The 21,071-nt window shown below is 37.3% G+C and overlaps 1 protein-coding gene across 21 annotated transcripts in view; it reads right to left on the reverse strand.

The window, feature by feature from the left end:
- The window catches only part of ZNF644 (zinc finger protein 644), a 106,732-nt gene that overhangs the window by 62,279 nt on the left and 23,382 nt on the right, over window positions 1-21,071 (reverse strand). For all 21 annotated transcript variants that reach the window (NM_032186.5, NM_201269.3, XM_011542258.4 and 18 more), the window contains one exon: window positions 4,728-4,788. In NM_032186.5, coding sequence (NP_115562.3) covers window positions 4,728-4,749 — 22 coding nt within the window. In that variant the 5' untranslated portion in view covers window positions 4,750-4,788. The remainder of the gene's footprint in view (window positions 1-4,727; window positions 4,789-21,071) is intronic.

Here is a 21,071-nt window from a genome sequence, read left to right on the forward strand (position 1 = left end):
GATAAAACAAATATTTAGCAGAATGTGGGAAAACAGATATTCTCATAAACTAGCAATAAGAGTATTAAGTGGTACAACCTCATTGCAGTTTTATTACATCAGAAGTTAAAGGGCACATATCCTTGATCCAGCAATCTACTGCTACAAATTATCCTGACACTCTCACACACTCCCGTTAATACCATCAAAAATATTTATTGCAGCAGTACTTATATACAGGCAAAAAATCCTGAGACTTACCTAAATATTAATAAGGTAACAGTTATAATAAATGTGGTAAATATATGGAAAAATGTCCAAAATATATTGATAAGCAGAAAGAAAAAGATGTAGAATACATACCAGCTATTTTTGGTAACTTATGGGGAGTATAGTGCTGGGTGGGAGAGAAGAGTTTTACTTTTTACTTTAAACATTGCTGTACTATTTGCTCATAAGGTCACATGTGACTTTTATAAAAAATTTATATTTTGAAAATACTAAATGTGGCCAGGTGCAGTGGCTCACGCCTATCATCCCAGCACTTTGGGAGGCTGAGGCCGGTGGATCGCCTGAGGTCAGGAGTTTGAGACCAGCGTGGCCAACACAGTGAAACCCCATCTCTACTAAAAATACTAAAATTAGCCAGGTGTGGTGGCATGCACCTATAGTCCCAGCTACTCAGGAGGCTGAGGCAGGAGAAACGCATGAACTCAGGAGGCGGAGGTTGCAGGGAGCCAAAATAGTGCCATTGCACTCCAGCCTGGGCAACAAGAGCAAAACTTTGTCTTAAAAAAAAAAAAAAAAGTGAAATACTAAATACTAACTGTTACTTGGCAATACAGCTGGAAAGGGTCAATGTACGTTGTACAATCTCATCTAGAATGAAGGACAAAGAATTTTATTAATTAAAAAGTCTTCTTTTTCATGCTACAACAAAGGGCAGCACATCTACAATGCTACTAAAGAAACTGAAGTACAGAGAGGTTAAGTTAGAAATTAGAGAAATTAATCTAAGACAAATATCCATAAAGAATTTCAAATCCTTGGATTCGGGGATTCTGCAGTCTTAGCAGCAGCTGCCTATGTTAAATATTGAAGCACAAAATGAAGACGAAGACTCTGCAACGGAGGTACAGCTAGCAGCCTCTGAGAAGAAAAATTAGTCTAAAGTCTTTGTGGAGACATGTAAGTTAGGCAATCTCAAGGTTAAATTTCTCTGGCTCCTCAACTCTAACCAACAACATGACTAAACACACTTCACAATCAGGATTTAAAAAAAAAAAAAAAGAACCAAGGTCTATATACGGTAAGAATCTATGTCTAAGAAAACCCTTGTGGGAAGACAGAAGGAACAGCATGAGAAAATGTCAACGTCTAACTCTGTGTTCAAACATTATGGCAGAAGCTGCAGAAAGGAAAAGCAACAAATTGATCCCTGTGGGGAAGAACCTCTTCTTGCTTTGGACTTGCTAGAGGGCAATCAAGCTTCAGGCATAAAAATCTCCAGATGATTACTATAGCCAACCCAACTAGCCAAATTTCAAACACAGAAAAAAAAAGAACCACTAGTCAAAATGCTTTAAAATTTAAGAAGTGTGTTATTTCTTAAGAGAGTATATTGTTTAGGCCAGGTGCAGTGGCTCACACCTGTAATCCCAGCACTTCGGAAGGCTAAGGAGGGTGGGTCACCTGAGGTCAGGAGTTCGAGACTAGCCTGACGAACATAGTGAAACCCCATCTCTACTTAAAAAATACAAATTTAGCTGGGTGTGGTGTCGCATGCCTGTAATCCCAGCTACTTGGGAGGCTGAGGCAGGAGAATTGCTTGAACCTGGGAGGCAGAGGTTGCAGTGAGCTGAGACTGTGCCATTGCATTCCCACCTGGGCAACAAGAGCGAAACTCCATCTCAAAAACAAAACAAAAAAAGTATATAGTTTATATATGCTACATTACATATCTACAATTTAAAAAAATTTAAGTACCTTTAAACAAATAGCAAGCTTCCTAAGCTGTGGGAATCAAAAATGTTATCACAGTTCCAGGCTATGATTCTACAATTTCTTCCTCCATCCTAACAGTTTTTTACCTTCAGAGAAATAAGGAAAAGTTTTCTTCACTTCTTACACGTGTGACTAGTGTTCCCAATCTTCTACTTGTATTAGTCTAACATTCCAAAATCTTTAAAGAAATAACTAGTACAAACCCACAAAGAAAATACTCTTCATAGCAAACACTTCAAATTTCTGCAACATGGATTAATACCTCCACTTGGAAATACTAATCAAAATCAACAATGACAGTCTTACTTTAGGTCTGAATTAAGAATATTTTACTAGCCACTGTATTTCAACTGGATTGAATGAAGACTTGGGAAATATTTTATTTCTCTTTCTAAAATGTCTATAATGCTGTCTGTGGATTATCCTCAGTGGCTCCTTCCTATGGCCCAACAGCAACTCAAGTGCCAATGCCCCCATCCCATTCCAGCTAGCATTCTGAATCTCTATTTGCCTGGGAGAACTCTTTTCATTGGTCAATGTTTAACAAAACATTTACTGAATGCACACAGTATTCCCAGCACTGTGCTAAGATAAACGAGACATGGATGGTATCTACCTTCAAACTCATACTCTAATAAAGAAGACAAACTACGGCCAGGCATGGCTTAAAGGATCAGATGATGCTTCAGATAGGCTATTTCAGAAGATAAGCTGACAACTAGCAAAGAGGTCTCTGGCAACTGGGGAGGCATGGGATTGAGGGAAAGTGACAACATGTACCTAGGACTAGAACTAGGAATATGAAACATCATACTTAGTTTATTCATATAATCCTCAGCATTCTGGCATAGCTACGGTGAGATAACTGCATGCCGTGTTATAAGGTTTACTACATTTTATTCTGAAAGTGATGGGGGACAATTAAAGAGACAGGTAGAAGAAGGAAAAGAGTATAAAAAAGTTAGCAAGTAGGAACAGAGATATGGAGAATCCAATAAACCAAATCACTGAGAAAACATAAATACTTTGTAGTGTGTTCATACAATGGAATATTACTAAAAATAAAACAGCAATAAAAAATAATGAACTGCTGACATAGTCACAACATAGATGAAGCTCAAGAACATTATGTTGAATGAAAAAGCCACATACAAGAGTACATACTATATATAAAATCCAAGAACAGGCAAAACTAAATTATGCTGACAGAATTCAGAAAGATGATTACTTCAGGGGAAAAGGCTATTAGACTGGAAGCGGGGAAAGCACAAGGAACTTTCCAAAGTAATGAAATGTTCTATATCTTGATCTAGATGGTGGTTACACATATGAATGTGTATGTGAAAAGTCATTCAGCTCTATACCTCAAATTTTATGTTACCATATATATGTAAACTATACCATAATAAAAAAGAAAAAACTACATATATAAGCATGGTGAAAAATAAGGTCAGAATAAGTTAAACCAGTGTCATCCCACAAGCAATATCAAACATAGAAAATCAGAACAAAAGTTTTAACAGACACTGTATATTCAACTAGAAAACAAACCCTAATAAGACCTTCAAGTACAAAAGAATGGCTTCTTCTCCACTTTAAGAAGATACATAGGCAAGTGTTATTTCTAATAAATGCTACAGAAGTAAATTATTATTCCTAAAGAAAAACAGCCCACTATAAAGCAAAAAATAAAATTTTTCTACACAACAAGAGGAGGTACTATAACGATCAATAAGGTATGACAAGCACTTAACAGAATTTAGAGCACAATAAGTACTCTTCAAACTACCACTACTGTTATTATTATATAATAGCAATAAAAGCAAAATTTTGCTTCAAAACATGCCCAAACCACTGACTGAGATTTCCTTCAGTGCATATTACTGAACTACAGCACTTTTCATCCTAGACTTTTTTTTTCTTTAACAAACATTGAGATCAGCAAATTTTTGACAGCTGAAACATCTGGTTAGAGGGAAAACCAAGTTAACTCCAATTTTTTCAATGTTCTTTTTCCCTTGTTTCCATTTTGAAGCCATATTCACTTACCAATAAATAGTAAATGTATCTTTTTAAAACATGTCAACGGCTTATATTATTAAAAAGCATTCTTTCACATACCAAAGTACATGATGCCAATTCAATTTTTTAAAAGTGAACAGCCTTAGAAAGCTAATCAGAATGCTATATTAGAGAGGTCATTCAGTAGAGACACCCACTAGGAAAACATTAAAACAATAATTTACAATTTTGAATACTATATTAACAGAAAGAAATCACAATTTGGCAAATTTATCCCATTTGGGAAAGTGCTTCCTTAACATTAAAAATGAAGCAAAATTCACAAAAGCAATGACTATTCATATACTTTATCAACAAAGGAGAGAACAATGAAGTGACACAATAAATGTCTTACTGAAGTGGTCAGAGTTCAATAAGAGTGGCTGAACCAAACATTAACTTGATTTTCTAACATTTTAGAATATTCACTGGAAACTTGAATGCTTTAGTTAACCTCAACACAAAAGAAGGAAACTAAAAATTTAGTTCCACAATGTGATAGTTATAATTTTACTCCCATCAAATCAACTGGACCAAGTGTGTCAAAAAGTCAATTATTTGCATTTCAAAATTTTATTTAAAAACTCTTTGGTTCTGAACTCAACACCACATTTTTAAGACATAATTTTTTTGTATTATTCCTACCTTGATATGTACATTTAACAAAGCAGTCTTCTACTTACCTAGATTTTGTCTTATTAACATCTTGCTGCAAGAACGATCTCATCCAAAATTAAATCAAACCTGAAAGAAATACACACAATGACCAAGGTTTAATTTTTTGTTTCAGGCATGAATAACCATAGCTACAATACACTATTATTTTAAATGAAAAAACACAAACCAAATTATATTTCTTGATATAACATAAAAAAACCATTCAACCAGAATACCATCATTTTAATCTTTAGGAAACTATTGCTAAGTGCCCCCCAACCTCACTGCTTTTTTTGAGAAATAATAATCTATTCAAATGAGAAATTGAAACTAATTCTTTTTTTTAAAAAAAATTCTAAATTGTTTTCATTAATTTTAATAGTATGGCAATGGCAATAATTAAAATAATTACTAAAACACACATCTTTCTAGATCAGTATTTATTTAATATTATGTACATATCAAGACACACACCAAACAGCTGAAGACAAAAATGTTATAGTATTGGAACACATAAAAGTATATACACATAAAAGTATATAACAAAGTAATTTGTTAGAGCAACCACAGTAATTATCATAATAGCCAACACTGATTACTTACTAAATGCCAAGCATCATTATTCTAGAGAATAGAATGTATCAATACTCCCCATCTTCAATTTAATCTTTAATCTAGTATAAAGTGACTTCTACACCAACAATCCACTGAACATGCATTTGCCAAAAATATATCCACCATTACTAATTTTACCATATTTCAGAACTTCTGAAAACTCAGTATGTCCCACACTCTACATATCTCCTCCTCCCCATACCTGAAACTAGCTTGTGACTCTTCTAAATTCTCTATTCTTTAAAAAATAGCACCACCACACCTACCTCTGTTCTCAAGCTAGGTTACTTTAACTGTTTTATTTCCAAACTATCATCTCTGATTTGTCCTTCCTAGAACCACAGACCTAGAATTTTCTGCATCGTATCTAGAAAAGATGAGATATTTTCTCTGCCACCCAATGCCATCATCTCCCACCAACCCAGAAGTGGACATGGGGGCCTGTTAAAAACTAAACTATAAAATAAAAGTAAGAACATTAAAAGTCTATTATAAACGACTGAGTGGGATAAGCTGAACTATTGCCCCACAAAAGACTTCCACACCCTGATCCCTGAAATCTGACAATGTTACCTCATATGGCAAAAAAAAAAAAAAAAAAAAGAAGAAGTCTTTGTAGATATGATTAAATTAAGGATCTTGAGAGGGAGGATTATTCCGAATTATCTGGGTGGACCACAGTGCAATCACATGTATCCTTATAAGAACGAGACACACACTGAAGGCAATGAGAAGACAAGCGGAGAGGCCGGGCACAGTGGCTCACACCTGTAATCCCAGCACTTTGGGAGGCCAAGGTGGGCAGATCACCTGAGGTCAGGAGTTCGAAACCAGCCTGGCCAACATGGTGAAACCCCGTCTCTACTAAAAATACAAAAGTTAGCTGGGCGTGGTGGCACGCGCCCGTAGTCCCAACTACTCAGGAGGCTGAGGCAGGATAATCTTGCTTGAACTCAGGAAGCGGAGGTTGCAATGAGCCAAGATCACGTCGCTGCATCCAGCCTAGGCAACAGAGCAAGACTCTGTCTCCAAAAAAGAGGAAGAAGAAGAAGACATGGCAGAGAGAACTGAAAATGCTGCTTTCGTAGACTGGAAGGACATGGGCCATAGCCAGGAATGCCAGCACCCACCAGTATCAGGGAGAAGCAAGGAATGGATTCTCTTCTACAGCCTCCCTCCAGAAGGAACAAAGCCCTGCCATCACCTTGATTTTGGCCCAATAATACTGATTTTGAACTTCTGGCCTCCAGAACTGTGAGAGAATTAATTTCTATTGTTTTACACCAACCAGTTTGTGGTAATTTGTTAGAGCAACCACAGGAAATTAATACACTGAAGACAGCAAGTTCTCAAGGAGATAAACTGGAAGCACCCCTATATAAAAGATGTTACGAACTGCATTGGTCTGCTAGGACTGTCATAAAATACTACAGACTGGGTGGCTTACATAACAGAAATTTATATTAGAGCGAGAGCCTTTCAGGAATCAAGTTAAATAAGGTAACTTATGAGGCCTTTACCCAATATGACTGGTGTCTTTTTTTTTTTTGGAGACAGAGGCTCACTACAAACTCTGCCTCCCAGGTTCAAGCGATTCTCGTGCCTCAGCCTCCGAAGTAGCTAGGACTATAGGCACACACCACCATGCCTGGCTAATTTTTTATTTTTATTTTTAGTAGAGACAGGGTTTCACCATATTGGCTAGGCTGGTCTCGAACTCCTGACCTCAAGTGATCCACCCGCTTTGGCTTCCCAAAGTTCTGGGATTACAGGCGTGAGCCACCACGCCCAGCCTGACTGGTATCATTCTAAGAGATACAAGGTATGCACACACAGAGGGCAGGCTCTCTGCAAAAGAGAGATGCCTCAGGAGAAACAAAACCTGCCAACACCCTAATCTTGAATTTCCCATCTCTAGAACTGTGAGAAAATAAATTTCTGTTGTGTAAGCCACCCAGTCTGTAGTATTTTATGACAGTCCTAGCAGATCAATGCATATTTTTTAAAACTATATATGGTTGCACAAACGATATAAACATACTTGAATGCCATAGAACTGTACACTTTAAAATGGTAAATTTTGTTATGCATATTTTACCACAATAAAAAATAAAGGCATATACAAACACCACACACATACAAACTTTGACTTAAGCTGTTTAATTTTACCTTGCTTTGCTCGTACTCTCCAAAATCTGAAAAAAAACCTTTTAACTGCATTTGTTCCCCACAAACCTAAACCAGCACATTTTAGACACTTTATTTTTATTTTATTAATTCTTAATTGACAAATACTAGTTGTATATATTATCTATTTATGGGGTACAATGTGATGTTTTGACATATGCTTACATAGTAGAATGATTAATTCATGCTAATTAACAAATCCATCACCTCACACTTATTTTTTTGTGGTAAAACACTTAAAATCTACTCTTTTAGCAATTTTAAAATATACATGCATTATTACTATATTTCATAATTCTGTGCAATAGATCACTAAAGCTTATTCCTCCTGAATAAAACTTTGTACCATTTGATCAACATCTCCTCTTGCCCCATCCACTCCCCAACCCAGCCTCAGGTAAACACCATTTCACTCTCTACTTCTATGAGTTCAACTTTTTTAGATTCTACATGTAAGTTAGATTACGTGGTGTTTGTCTTTCTGTGCCTGGTTTATTTCACTTAGCATAATGTCCTCCAGGTTCATCCATGTTGTTGCAAATAACAGAATTTTTTTCTGTCTTAAGACTGAATAGTATTCCATTGTGCATATATACCACGTTTATCCTTTCATCCAATGATGGACACCTAGGTTGCTTCCCTATTTTAGCTATTGTGAATAATGCTGTAGTGAACATGGACATGCAGATACCTCTTCAGCACACTGATTTCAATTCCTTTAGATGTATAACCAGACGTGGGACTGCTATATCATATGGTAATTCTATTTTTAGTTTTCTGAGAAAGTGCCATACTGTTTTCCATAATGGCTGTTTATTTTGCATTCCTAACAAGGTACACAAGGGCTCCCTTTCTCCACATCCTTGCCAACATTTGTTATCTTTTGTCTTTTTGATAATAGCAAATAAATTTTTTTAAAAAAAGATTTTACAAACAAGTATGATAGAAAGTATTTTAAAATCTACACCTAAGAAATATAATTGGAATATTACTTATATAAGTGGGAGGGGGTACAAAAAAAGAGGATAAAACTTAAAAGCAGTTGGCACCGCTGGTTTTGCTTCAAGCAGTATTCTAAGAGAACACCTGAATACTAAAATGTCAAGTATAACACATCCTCCCAAAAACCCATAACCACAGTCTGATCATGAGAAAAACATCAGACAAATTCCAATAGAAGATCATAGAGTATATCTGACCAATATTCCTCAAAACTGTTAAGGTGAAAAGAAAAAACAAAAAACAAAAAAAAAACCTCATAAGGTCATCAAAAACAAAGTCTTCAGAAACTTAGGAAGAAACGACAACTAAATGTAATATATCTTGGAACACAAAAAGAACATTGGGTAAAAACTAAGAAAATCTGAATAAACTATGGTCTTTAGTTAATAATAATGTGTCAATATTGGTTCATTAACTGTAACAAATGTACTGTACTAATGTAAGATGTTAACAACAGGGAAAAATGACAGTTGGAAGGGGTGGTTAGAATATGGGAACAGTATACTATCCTGCTGAAATTTGTTGTAAATCTAAAACTTTTAAAAAAGAATGTCTATTAATTTTCAAAAATATTGTAAATATGCTGAAGAGACATGAACATATTTTAGAAAACTAAACACTGACAATTCAGAAAAGTCTTCAGAATTAACTCCGAAAGTTCAGAAACACATTAAAATTATATAAAAGGTAGGTCACAAAACAAATCTGAATAAATTTAAGACTGAAATCATACCAACTATCTTCTCTAATCACAGTGAAATGAAACTAAACACCAATAACAGAAGGAAAACAAGAAAATCCACACATGTGGAAATTAAAAAACTTACTCTTACCCAACCAATGGGTCAAAGAAATTACAAAGAAATTTTTTAAATATCCGGAGACAAAAACAAAAACACAACAAACCATTACGTTATGAGATGCAACAAAAGCAGTACTAAGAGAGAGGTTTATGGTAGCAAAAGCTTACATGTTTAAAAAAAAAAAAAACCCACAAATCAACAACCTAACTTTATATCTCAAGGAACTAGAAAAAAGAGGAACAAACTAAACCAAATAGTAGCAGAAGGGAGAAAAATAATACATATTAGGGCAGAGATCAACTAAATATAGAACTGAAGACAAGGAAAGAAAAAAACTCAATGAAACCTAGAGTTGGTTTTTTTTTTTTTTTTTTTTTAAAAAAAGATCAACAAAATCAATAAACTCTTTAGCTAGACTAAGAAAAAGAGAAGACTTGAAAAATGAAAATCTGAAATGAAAGAGGGGACATTACAACTGATGCCAGAAGAATTATAACAGAATATTATGAACAATTATACATCAACAATTGAATAATCTAGAACAAATTGGTATATTCCTAAAAATGTACACCTAGCAAAACGAGGACATGAAAAATAAAAACTCTGAATGGCCTATAACTAGTAAACAGAGATTGGATGCAGTTATCAAAAACTTACCAAATAAGAAAAGCCCAGGACCAGATGGCTTTGCTAGAGAATTCTACCAGACATTTAAATAAGAATTAACACCAATCTTCCTCAAACTCATAAAGAATTCAAAAGAAGGGAATACTTCAAATTCATTCTATAAGGTCAGCATTACCCTGACACCAAAACCAGACAAAGACACAACAAGCAAGAACAAAATTATAGACGTATATCTGTGATTAATACTGATGCAAAAATCTACAACAAAATAGGAGCAAAACAAATTCAGCAGCACATTAAAAGGATTACACATCATGACCAAGTGGGCTTTACTCCTGGAATGCAAGGACAATTAAACATATGAAAACAAAATAGAAATAGAAGGAAAGTTTAACATAATAAAAGCCATACATGAAAAGCCCACAGCTAACATCACACTCAACCGTGAAAGACTGAAAGCGTTTCCTCTAAGATAGAGAACAAAGCAAGGATGCCTACTGTCACCATTTCTATTCAACACAGTAGTGGAAGTCCTAGCCAGAGCAATTAGACAAGAAAAAAGAATAAAATGCATTCAAATTGGAAAGAAGTAAAATTACCCTGGTTCTCAGATGTGACCTTATATGCAGAAAACTCTTAAATTTTCAAGAAAAAAAATGTTAGAAGTAATCATTTCAGCAAAGTTAAAGGATACAAAAAATAAAAGCACACAAACATGCAAACATCAATTGTATTTCAATGAGCAATTTGAAAAAGAAATTAACACAATTCCATGTACAATAGTATCAAAAAGAATACAATATTTAGGAATTAACCAAGGATCCAACAGACTTGTACACTGAAAGCTATAACACACTGCTGAAAGAAACCATAAAATATACCAATAAATGGAAACACACTGTACCCACAGATTGGAAGATTTATTGTTAAAATGTCCATACTACCCACAGCAATCTACAGATTCAATGCAATCCCTGTCAAAGTCCCAATGGCATTTTTGCAGAAACAGGAAAACCTATCCTTAAATTCATATGGAATCTCAAAGGACCCCATAGAGCCAAAACAAACTTGAAAAAGAACAACAAAGTTGGAGGCCTTACATGTCCTGATTTCAAAACATACTAAATACAAATAGTAATCAAGACAACAATGGTGCCAGCATAAAAAGACATATAAACCAATGAAACAAAATATAGATAGCCCAATAATAAACCCATGCATTTCTAGTCAAATGGTGTTTGACAAGGGGGCCAATACTATACAGAGAGGAAAGGACAGTCTTTTCAACAAATGGTACTGGGAAATCCAATATCCACGTGAAAAAGAATGAAGTCGGACCCTTACTTACACCACATACAAAAATTAATTCAAAATGGATAAAGACCAAAGCATAAGAACTAAAACAATAAAACTATTAAAGAAAACATAGGGGAAGGCTTCGGGACACTGGATTTAGCTATGAATTCTTGAACATGACACCAAAAGCACAGGGAACAAAAAATGGAATTACATTAAAAGTTAAAAACTTCTGTACATCAAAAGAAGTAATCAATGGAGTGAAAAGACAACCTACAGACTGGGAGAAAATATTTGCAAATCATGTATCTGATAAGAGGTTAAAATCCAAAATATGTAATATAATGAACTTGACAACAAAAAAAGAAATGACTGAATTTAAAAATGGGCCAAGTACTTCAATGGACAATCCTCCAAAGACAGCATATAAAACAAGCACACAAAAAGATGCTCAGCCCAGTGTAGTGGCTCATGACTGTAATCCCAGCACTCTGAGAGGCTGAGGTGGGAGGATCGCTTGAGCTCAGGAGTTTGAGACTAGCCTGGGCAACATGGCAAGACCTTGTCTCTACTAAAAAAAATAAATAGGTGTGGTAGCACGCGTTTGTAGTACCAGCTACTTGAGAGGCTGAGGTGGGAGGATCACTTGAACCTGGAAGGTCAAAGCTGGAGTGAGCCATAATTGTGCCACTGCACTCCAGCCTGGGCAATATAGCAAGACCCTGTTCCAAAAAAAATATTGTAAGAAAGAAAAGATACTCAACATCACCAGTCATCAGAGAATGCAAATCTAAACTACAAGATATCACCTTACATCCACTAGAGGCTGTTATTTTTAAAAACCCAGGAAATAACAAGTGTTGGCGAGAATGTGGAGAAACTGGAACCCTTGGTGCACTGTTGGGGAAAATATAAAATAGTGCAGCCATTATGAAAAACATGACAGTTCCTCAAAAAATTTCAAGTTAAATTACCATATGATCCAGCAATCCCACTTCTGGGCATATACACAAAGAATCCAAAGCAGAATCTCAAAACGATATTTACATGCCCATGTTCACAACAGCATTATTCACAAGATCCAAGAGAAGGAAGAAACCCACTGTCCACCAATGTATAAACAGATCAAGGGAATGTGTATACATACAATGGAGTATTATGCAGCCTTAAAACAGAAGGAAATTGTGTCACATGCTATAGCATGGATGAACCTCAATCACCTCAAGGGCATTATAACTGAAATAAGCCAATCACAAAGGACAAATACTATATGATTCCATCCATGAGATACCTAACATAGTCAAAAATCACAGAAAGTGGAGTGGTTGTCAAAATCTGGGGGAGAGAGGAAGTGAAATTAGTGTTTAACAGACACAGAGTTTCTCTTTTCCAAAGTGAAAAAGTTCTAGAGACCTGTTACACAATGTAAATACACTTAACACTACTAGACTGTATACTTAAAAACAGTTAAGATGGCAAATTTACTGTTATGTGTTTTTTACCAAAATAAAAGATAAATATGAAGAGTAGAAAGTACATATAAGAGCCAAGGTGGAGTAACAGGAATTGGGTTTGCCTTCCTCCCTGAAAACTCAAGAAATCAGAAAACATATGAAACAATAGTTTTCATATATTAGACATTAGGCAACCCCTGATGGTGAACCCTGAAAGGGAAACAAGGTGAGCAAACTTACTGCCTGGAGAAAGTACAGATCCCTGCCCAAGGAAAAGAGTATCTATGCAGAATCTGGTGGTAATCCTTGAGTTGAGGAGACTGAGCTAAAAGCCTAAAGAAGTCATGAGGGCAGAGTACTGAAGAGAAGATAATTCCACAAAGAACGCCCTCAAGTATCTAGCTACATAATGATTAGAGCAACTCTGTGTGGAAACTATCCAAGCAAGGAAGAGTCACCCAAAAGGATGAAAGGGAATTGCCCTAGTCTTACACAGCACCAGAAATAGTACCTGTTCTCTTAAGAGTGGAAAATCTCCTGATTCACGTTAACACCAGACAAAAAGGAGTCTTGCCTCAGTGGGAAAACAAAGTAATCCTGAACTATATGCTGTTAAAGAGACAGACCCCCAAAAAGGAACGTGGTGGAGAAGAACTACAAAGTGGCACCAGGAGAACTTTTGCGGGTGATGAATATATTCATCATCCTGTTTGTGGCCTCCTGAGTATATATATGTGTCAAAATTTTTCTCACTGTATACTTTAAATATGTGTACTTTATTACATGTCAATTATGCCTCAATAAACCTGCTTTTAACACCTTCAATAATAAAACAACCCAATTACAAAATAGGCAGAAAATTTGAAGCAGCACTTCGGCAACAATACATGAATGACAAGCATATCAAAAGATGCTCAGTATCATTTGTTACTGGGAAACTGCAAATTAAAGGCACAAAGAGTTATCACTACACAGCTATAAGAATGGCTAAATTAGTAAGACCAACCATACCAAGTGTTGGTGAACAAGTGGAGGAACTAAAACTTTCATACATTCATATGAGAAGATAAAATGGTACAACCACTTTGTAAAAGTTTCACCATTTCTTAAAATGTCAAACATACACCTACTACAGGATCCAGTCATGGAGTGGAAACTCCTAGGTATTTGTCCAAACAAATGAAAGCATATGTCCATACAATGATGTATTAGTCCATTCTCACACTGCTATAAAGAACTACCTGAGACTGGGTAATTTATGAAGAAAAGAGGTTTAACTGACTCACAGTTCCGCAGGCTGTACAGAAAGCACGGCTGGGAAAGGCCTCAAGAAACCTGCAATCATGGCAGAAGACAAAGGGGAAGCAAGCGCATCTTACCATGGTGGAGCAGGAGAATAAGAGTGAAGGGGGGGAAGTGCTACACACTTTTAAACAACCAGATCTCGTGAAGACTCACTCACTACCACAACAACAGCAAGGTGGAAATCTGTCCCCATGATCCAATCACCTCTCTCCAGGTCCCTTCTCCAACATTGGGAATTACAATTCAACATGAGATTTGGTAGGGACACAGAGCCAAACCATGTCAAACGATTTGTATGCAAATGTCCATACCATCCTTATTTGTAATATTGAAACACTAGCGGAAAAATGTCCACCAACAGGTGAATCCTCACATTAAACACCTGCAACAGAATATGTAGGACTGAACTAATGATATATGCAACATGAATGAATCTCAAAAAAAATACGTTGAGTTAAAAAAAAACTCCAAACAAAAAGAGTACATACTGCATGTGTTGATTTATGTAAAATTCCAGAATATGCATAGCACCTTATAAATGACCTAAAGCAGATCATTCACTGTCTGGGCAAACAGGAAGAATACCAACAGGCATAAGGAAACTTTTTGAAACTAAAGGGTATGTTGCTTATCTTGAATGATTTCATAGGTATATACAGACGTCAAATCTGTTCAAATTGTTTACTTTAAGTGTGATTTTTTAATATGTCAATTATACTTCAATAAATCTGTTAAAAATTCACAGTATACAAAGAACAAATAGAAAAAAGTCAAATCTCGAAGTTAGAATAATAAATGTACACCCAAAAAAAATCATTTATAACCAAAAAAAAAAAAAGATATAAATGAATCACCTTTGAACAACTGCTAATTTACCAACATCTACCTACAACTGGTAATTCAGTCTATAAACAATGCTTCCAAAATCTCATCAGACCTGATGTATGAAACAAATATAGCAAAGAGTAATCTGGACTACTGGACAGATTGATATACAAAATTTGTACCTGCCCCAATTTCTATATGCAAACAATTCTTACTGAAATATGAGTTCAGAATTAAACATTGAAAATTAATCTAATTTTACCAACTGAAACAAAAAGCCTGATTGTGAATAGCCCAATTCTGTTTCACCTCGTTATCCATGTATTTGGCAAGGAAATTTTGTAGTTTCTCTCATCAAGAGGTGGTCCGCCAGGTGCAGTGGCTCATGCCTGTAATCCCAGCACTTTGGGAGGTCAAGGCAGGAGGATCACTTGAAGCCAGAAGTTCAAGCAGCCTGAGCAACACAAGGAGACTCTGCCTCTACAAAAATACAAAAATTAGCCAGGTGTGGTGGTGCATGTCTGTGGTCCTAGCTACTCAAGAGGCCAAGGCAGGAGGATTGCATGAGCCCAGGAGTTTGAGGTTACAGTGAGCTCTGACTGTGCCACTGCATTCCAGCCTGGTCAACAGAGCAAGACCCTGTCTCTTAAAAAATAAAAAGAAAAAAGAAGTAGCATCCTCTCCCTGATCTCTTAAATCTGGGATTGACCTTATAAGAAACACCAGTGGAATCCAGCAGATTTCAGTTTGCCAGTTTTGAGCTTAGGCTTCAAGAGACATTGTATACTTCTGCTCTTTCCTTCAAAACCTTGCCACCACCATGATAACAAGCCAACTCTCATCTGCTTCAGAATGGGAGGGTATCCCAGACGTCACAGCACATCCTAGACCAAACTACAGCCAGCTCAATATAGGCCATCCTAGATCAACCTTATGGCCAGTCAATGCCCAAATATATCAGAGAACCCAGCCAAGAGAAGCAGAGCCACCTTCCTGACCTGCTGCTAAATGCAGATTCATAAATGAGCCCAGTCAAGACCAGAAACGCCACCTGGCTGACTCACAGACTTGTTCTAATCAAAATGTTTATTGATTTAAATCACCAAGTTTCAAAGTAATTTGTTACACAATAATTAGCTAACTGACAGAGCAACTCTATCTTAACAATACCATAATAAGTTTTTCTTAGCCCTAGGAGTTATTTTATATTGACATTTGATTTAGGTCTCTTAACTTTTGAAGACAAGGGGGGAAAAAGGAACAAATCTATTTCATTCTTTTATTAGCAGTAACTCTACAAGACATTCTGTCACAAAATTTTTCAAACTCAGAGACACATAAACTGACCAAAATCATTTTGTAAGTAATGTCACCATTCAATTATAATTTTTTTGTGAAATATTGTTCCTAGACAACTTTACTGGATCCAGCAATACAAGGAAATTTTTCAGGACACTCCAAAATCTATAAAAACTGTTATAGAGCAATCTTCTATTTCTAATATTGCCTCTATTTTTACTAATAGTAACCTTAATTTCCAGATAGGGACACATTCTTACTCAACTATTACAGTGGCCCCAATCCTAGGCACCTGAATGGAAGGATAAACAAGTGACTCTCAGGCTGATCAGATTACCCTGTTCTCCTAGCACAGTAATTTGTTCATGGATGGGACTAAATGGGAGATGTAGAATGCTTCTTAGTACATTTGCAAAAACTATTGGGAAAGTGTCACTTGAATCCTCAGTGGAAACAGTTATGAGAACGATGTAGGTTAGAGCAGCCAGTGGCTATCTTTGCCACACTTCATGGAGAGAACATGTTCAGGGATGAAATTACTATGGAAGAAATCCAAGCCAAAAATAAAGACATCATCCTATAGATACCATATGCACTCATCGATCCTTCAATCCCTAAAATTTAATTAAAGTAATCACAGAATGCTAGAGACCCCACAAGCACACAAAAATTATCTCTGGATAAAGACAGTATCACTGTAGGGCTCTGTATTCAGGCCTGAGAAAACAGCTAGAAATTTAAATGGGAAAAACATGGCAGTCAGAGAACCAGAGGGGTGAAACAAAAATTCTAGGTATAAACTTTGCCCAAATAATTGGATGACTGATAAACCAGTAGGCACAGAGAAGACCTGAAGGGATTGAGGAAAAAGTAGGCAGAAACTAGAAAGAATGATGCTACACTTGAAAATAGCACTGTATTACTGAATCTGTTGCCTTTCAACAGAGTGCATTCCCCAACTATGCAGTGTAGGCAGCAGGAAGCTGCAGCTCTACAAGGTTGAAGTACTAGTGAAGGTTAGAAGCTCTGTAGAACAGCTGGAAATTAGTAAAATTCCGAGAAGCAAGAAAACCACAGGGCAAAATTGGACTACAATCTCCACAAATCTCTGGGTAACAACCAACTTACTCAGACACTGGGAGACCCCCAACAAGCCAAGCCAAAAAAGCAGCAATGGAAAGCTAGAAGAAAACAGAGATGGCCGTGGCTGCATACATCAGGGGAGACCAAGTTTGCAGTCTGGGCCCAGGTAAGTTAACTATCTACCTTAAAAAAAAGACCTGCAACTCTAAGAACATTAACTGAATCATTCATTAAAACATACCATAATGTGCAGTTTCAGGCAAAAAATACATGATATGCAAAGAAAGAGGAAAATGTGACCCAGACTCAGGAAAAAAGAAAAGTAAATCAACAGATACTGATTCTGAGTCTACCTGAATTAATTCAAAGCAGTTATTCTAAGTATGTTATGAAAATTAAAAGAAATTATGTTCAAACAATTGACAGAAACTTAAAAAAAAGAAAAAGCTGAAAAATACAATAACTACAATAAAAAATTCCTCAGATGAGTCAACAGAAGATTAGAGATAGCAGAAGAAAGAATTGGTGAGTTTGAAGACAGGGAAATAAAACTGTCTAATCCAAAGAACAGAAAGTAAAATAACTAAAGAAAAATAAACATATCCTAAGAGACCAGTAGGACACTATTAGGCAGTCCAACATATATGTAAGTCCCAAAAAGAAAGGAATGAGATGAGCATAAAAAATTTTTTGTTGATGAAATAATGGCCAAAACATTTCAAATTCAGTAGAAAATGTTGACTTAACAAATCCAAGAATCTCAACAAACCCAAGCAGAATATACACAAAGAGCCACATATGCATATATATCATAGTCAAGCTGGTGAAAGCCAAAGAGAAACCTTGACAGCAGCCAAAGAAAAATGACTGGTTACATATCAAAAACAACAATACTGTTAATGGTTGACCTATCAGAAAAAATGGAGATACTGAAACAACATCTTCTATATCCAATGATATTATCCTTCAAAAATGAGGTGAAAAAAAGTTATTTTCAGAAAACAAAAATTGGGTTTGTGGCCAGCAGATAAACAACAAGAGTTTTAAAAGGGGAAGGAAAGTAGTAACAACACTAAATCAAAAACATGACATCAGAGGCTCAGAGCCCTCATCAGAACCTGACCATGTTGGCACTCTGATCCCAGACTTCCAATCTCCAGAACTGTGAGAAATAAATTTCTGTTGTTTGTAAGCCACCCAGTCTATAGTACTTGTTACAGTAGCCCAAACTAAGACACAGACACATAAATACTGCACACATTCTTTCCAAAGACACACAAAACATTTATAAAACCTGGCAATACATATATTAAAAGGTACTCAGTCACATTTGGAATCAGGGAAATGCAAAATAAAAATCACTACGAGATAACCCTACATACCCTCTAGAATAACAGAAAATATTTGCCAACTATATACTTAACAAAAGACTCATATCTAAAATAATTTAAAACTCCCAAAACTCAACAGTAGGATATAAGCAAAAATTTCAAAATAAGAACCTTCGAAAATCATCTCCTCCATAAACCCAGCAAGATCACTGGCAAAAACTGTGAAAATCAACATTCTGTGAACTCTGGAAACTAGCCAAAGGCTTGGAGCAATCTAGGAAGAGTGATAGATGGCTGAATCTTATTTGGGAAGACCAGCACACTTTAAGGCATCTTATCTTGCCCTATTCCCATTCTCCCCCACAGTAGCTTTGAAAATTAGCAGCCTGGGGGATCAGGCCCAGTGGCTTATGCCTATAATCCCAACTACTTGAGAGGCTGAGGTGGGAGAAATGCTTGAGTCCAAGTGCTTGGAACCAGTCTGGGCAACATGGTGGTACCCCGTCTCTAAATAATGTTTAAAAATTAGGCATGTTGGCATGCATCTGTAGTCCCAGCTACTCGGGAGGCTGAAGACAAAGGATCAGTTGAGCCCAAGACTTTGAGGCTGCAGTGAGCTATGACCATGCCACTGCACTCCAGCCTGAGCACAGAGCCAGGCCCCACTGCTTTATAACTAAAAACAAAAACCCAACAGCCTGGCAGGCACTAGGAAAGACAGAAGAGGTTTGGAGCTCTTTTAGTACCTCATTCCCAGAGAACTGTCATTATTTAACACATCTGGTGGTCTCCTGGAAGGCTCTACTCGCAAAGCTATCTTAATTTGACCTGACTCAGCACTTACCTAGTATAAAAAGCTTCCCCCAATACCCTAGGACAACCAAAGGACATTTGTCAAAAACAATCAGAGGTAATTGTTTCATATTGCAGCTGGCTGAGGGAGAGAAGAACAGCTGAGGCAAACAATAGACTAAAAGCTTTAAAAAGAAAAGCTGGGGGCTTTGTAAAGCTCCAACATATTCCTGAGACTCTAGAGAGCCACATGTACAGAAAGGGCTGTATACACGCCCAGGAAAGACCTAAGTGCTCACCTCTGGCTAAACCTGAGGCTCTACACAAGCAGGAAGTAAAAAGTAAGGCAGAGTTGTAAACTGCCTGGTTAAGTGTTGAAGGAGCATCCCAACACACACATAACTTCAACAAAAAGATTTATTGCTCCCAGGCATTTAATGAAATCTCTGTCCAATCATTAGCTGACCACTAAGCCAACTGAGCAGAGATTTCAGTGCCCATATGTGACAAAGAATATAGATTTCATAGAATTAGTTTCAAAAAAAAAATCACTAAAATAACAAACAACGCTGGGGCAGAGAGGAGAATCTGATTATCAGAGTTGTGACATTATTTTAAATGTGCAGTATTCAACAAAAAATTACAAGATATTAAAAAAAAAAGGGGAGGGGGGCGGTTCCAAGATGGCCGAAAAGGAACAGCTCCAGTCTACAGCTCCCAGTGTGAGCGATGCAGAACACAGGTGATTTCTGCGTTTCCAATTGAGGTACCGGGTTCATCTCACTGGGGAGTGGTGGACAGTGGGTGCAGCCCACCAAGCATGAGCCGAAGCAGGGCGAGGCATCGCCTCACCCGGGAAGTGCAAGGGGTCAGGGAATTAATTCCCTTTCCAAGCAAAGGGAAGCTGTGACAGACGGCATCTGGAAAATTGGGTCACTCCCACCATAATACTGCGCTTTTCCAATGGTCTTAGCAAACGGCACACCAGGAGATTATATCCCTCGCGTGGCTTGGAGGGTCCCACGCCCATGGAGCCTCGCTCATTGCTAGCACAGCAGTCTGAGATCGAACTGCAAGGCAGCAGCGAGGCTGGGGGAGGGGTGCCCACCATTGCTGAGGCTTGAGTAGGTAAACAAAGCGGCCAGGAAGCTCGAACTGGGGGGAGCCCACCACAGCTCAAGGAGGCCTGCCTGCCTCTGTAGACTCCACCTCTTGGGGCAGGGCACAGCCGAACAAAAGGCAGCAGAAACCTCCACAGACTTAAATGCCCTTGTCTGACAGCTTTGAAGCGAGTAGTGGTTCTCCCAGGACGGAGTCTGAGATCTGAGAATGGAGAGACTGCCTCCTCAAGTGGGTCCCTGATCCCTGAGTAGCCTAACTGGGAGGCACCCACCACTAGGGGCAGACTGACACCTCACACAGCCAGGTACCCCTCTGAGACAAAGCTTCCAGAGAATGATCAGGCAGCAACATTTGCTGTTCAGCAATATTTGCTGCTCTGCAGCCTCCGCTGCTGATACCCAGGCAAACAGGGTCTGGAGTGGACCTCCAGCAAACTCCCAACAGACCTGCAGCTGAGGGTCCTCACTGTTAGAAGGAAAACTAACAAACAGAAAGGACATCCACGCCAAAACCCCATCTCTACGTCATCTACATCATCAAGGACCAAAGGTAGATAAAACCACAAAGATGGGGAAAGAACAGAGCAGAAAAGCTGAAAATTCTAAAAATCAGAGCGCCTCTCCCCCTCC

This window comes from Homo sapiens, chromosome 1 (genome assembly GCF_000001405.40).
Source record: "Homo sapiens chromosome 1, GRCh38.p14 Primary Assembly".
Taxonomy (NCBI): domain Eukaryota; kingdom Metazoa; phylum Chordata; class Mammalia; order Primates; family Hominidae; genus Homo; species Homo sapiens.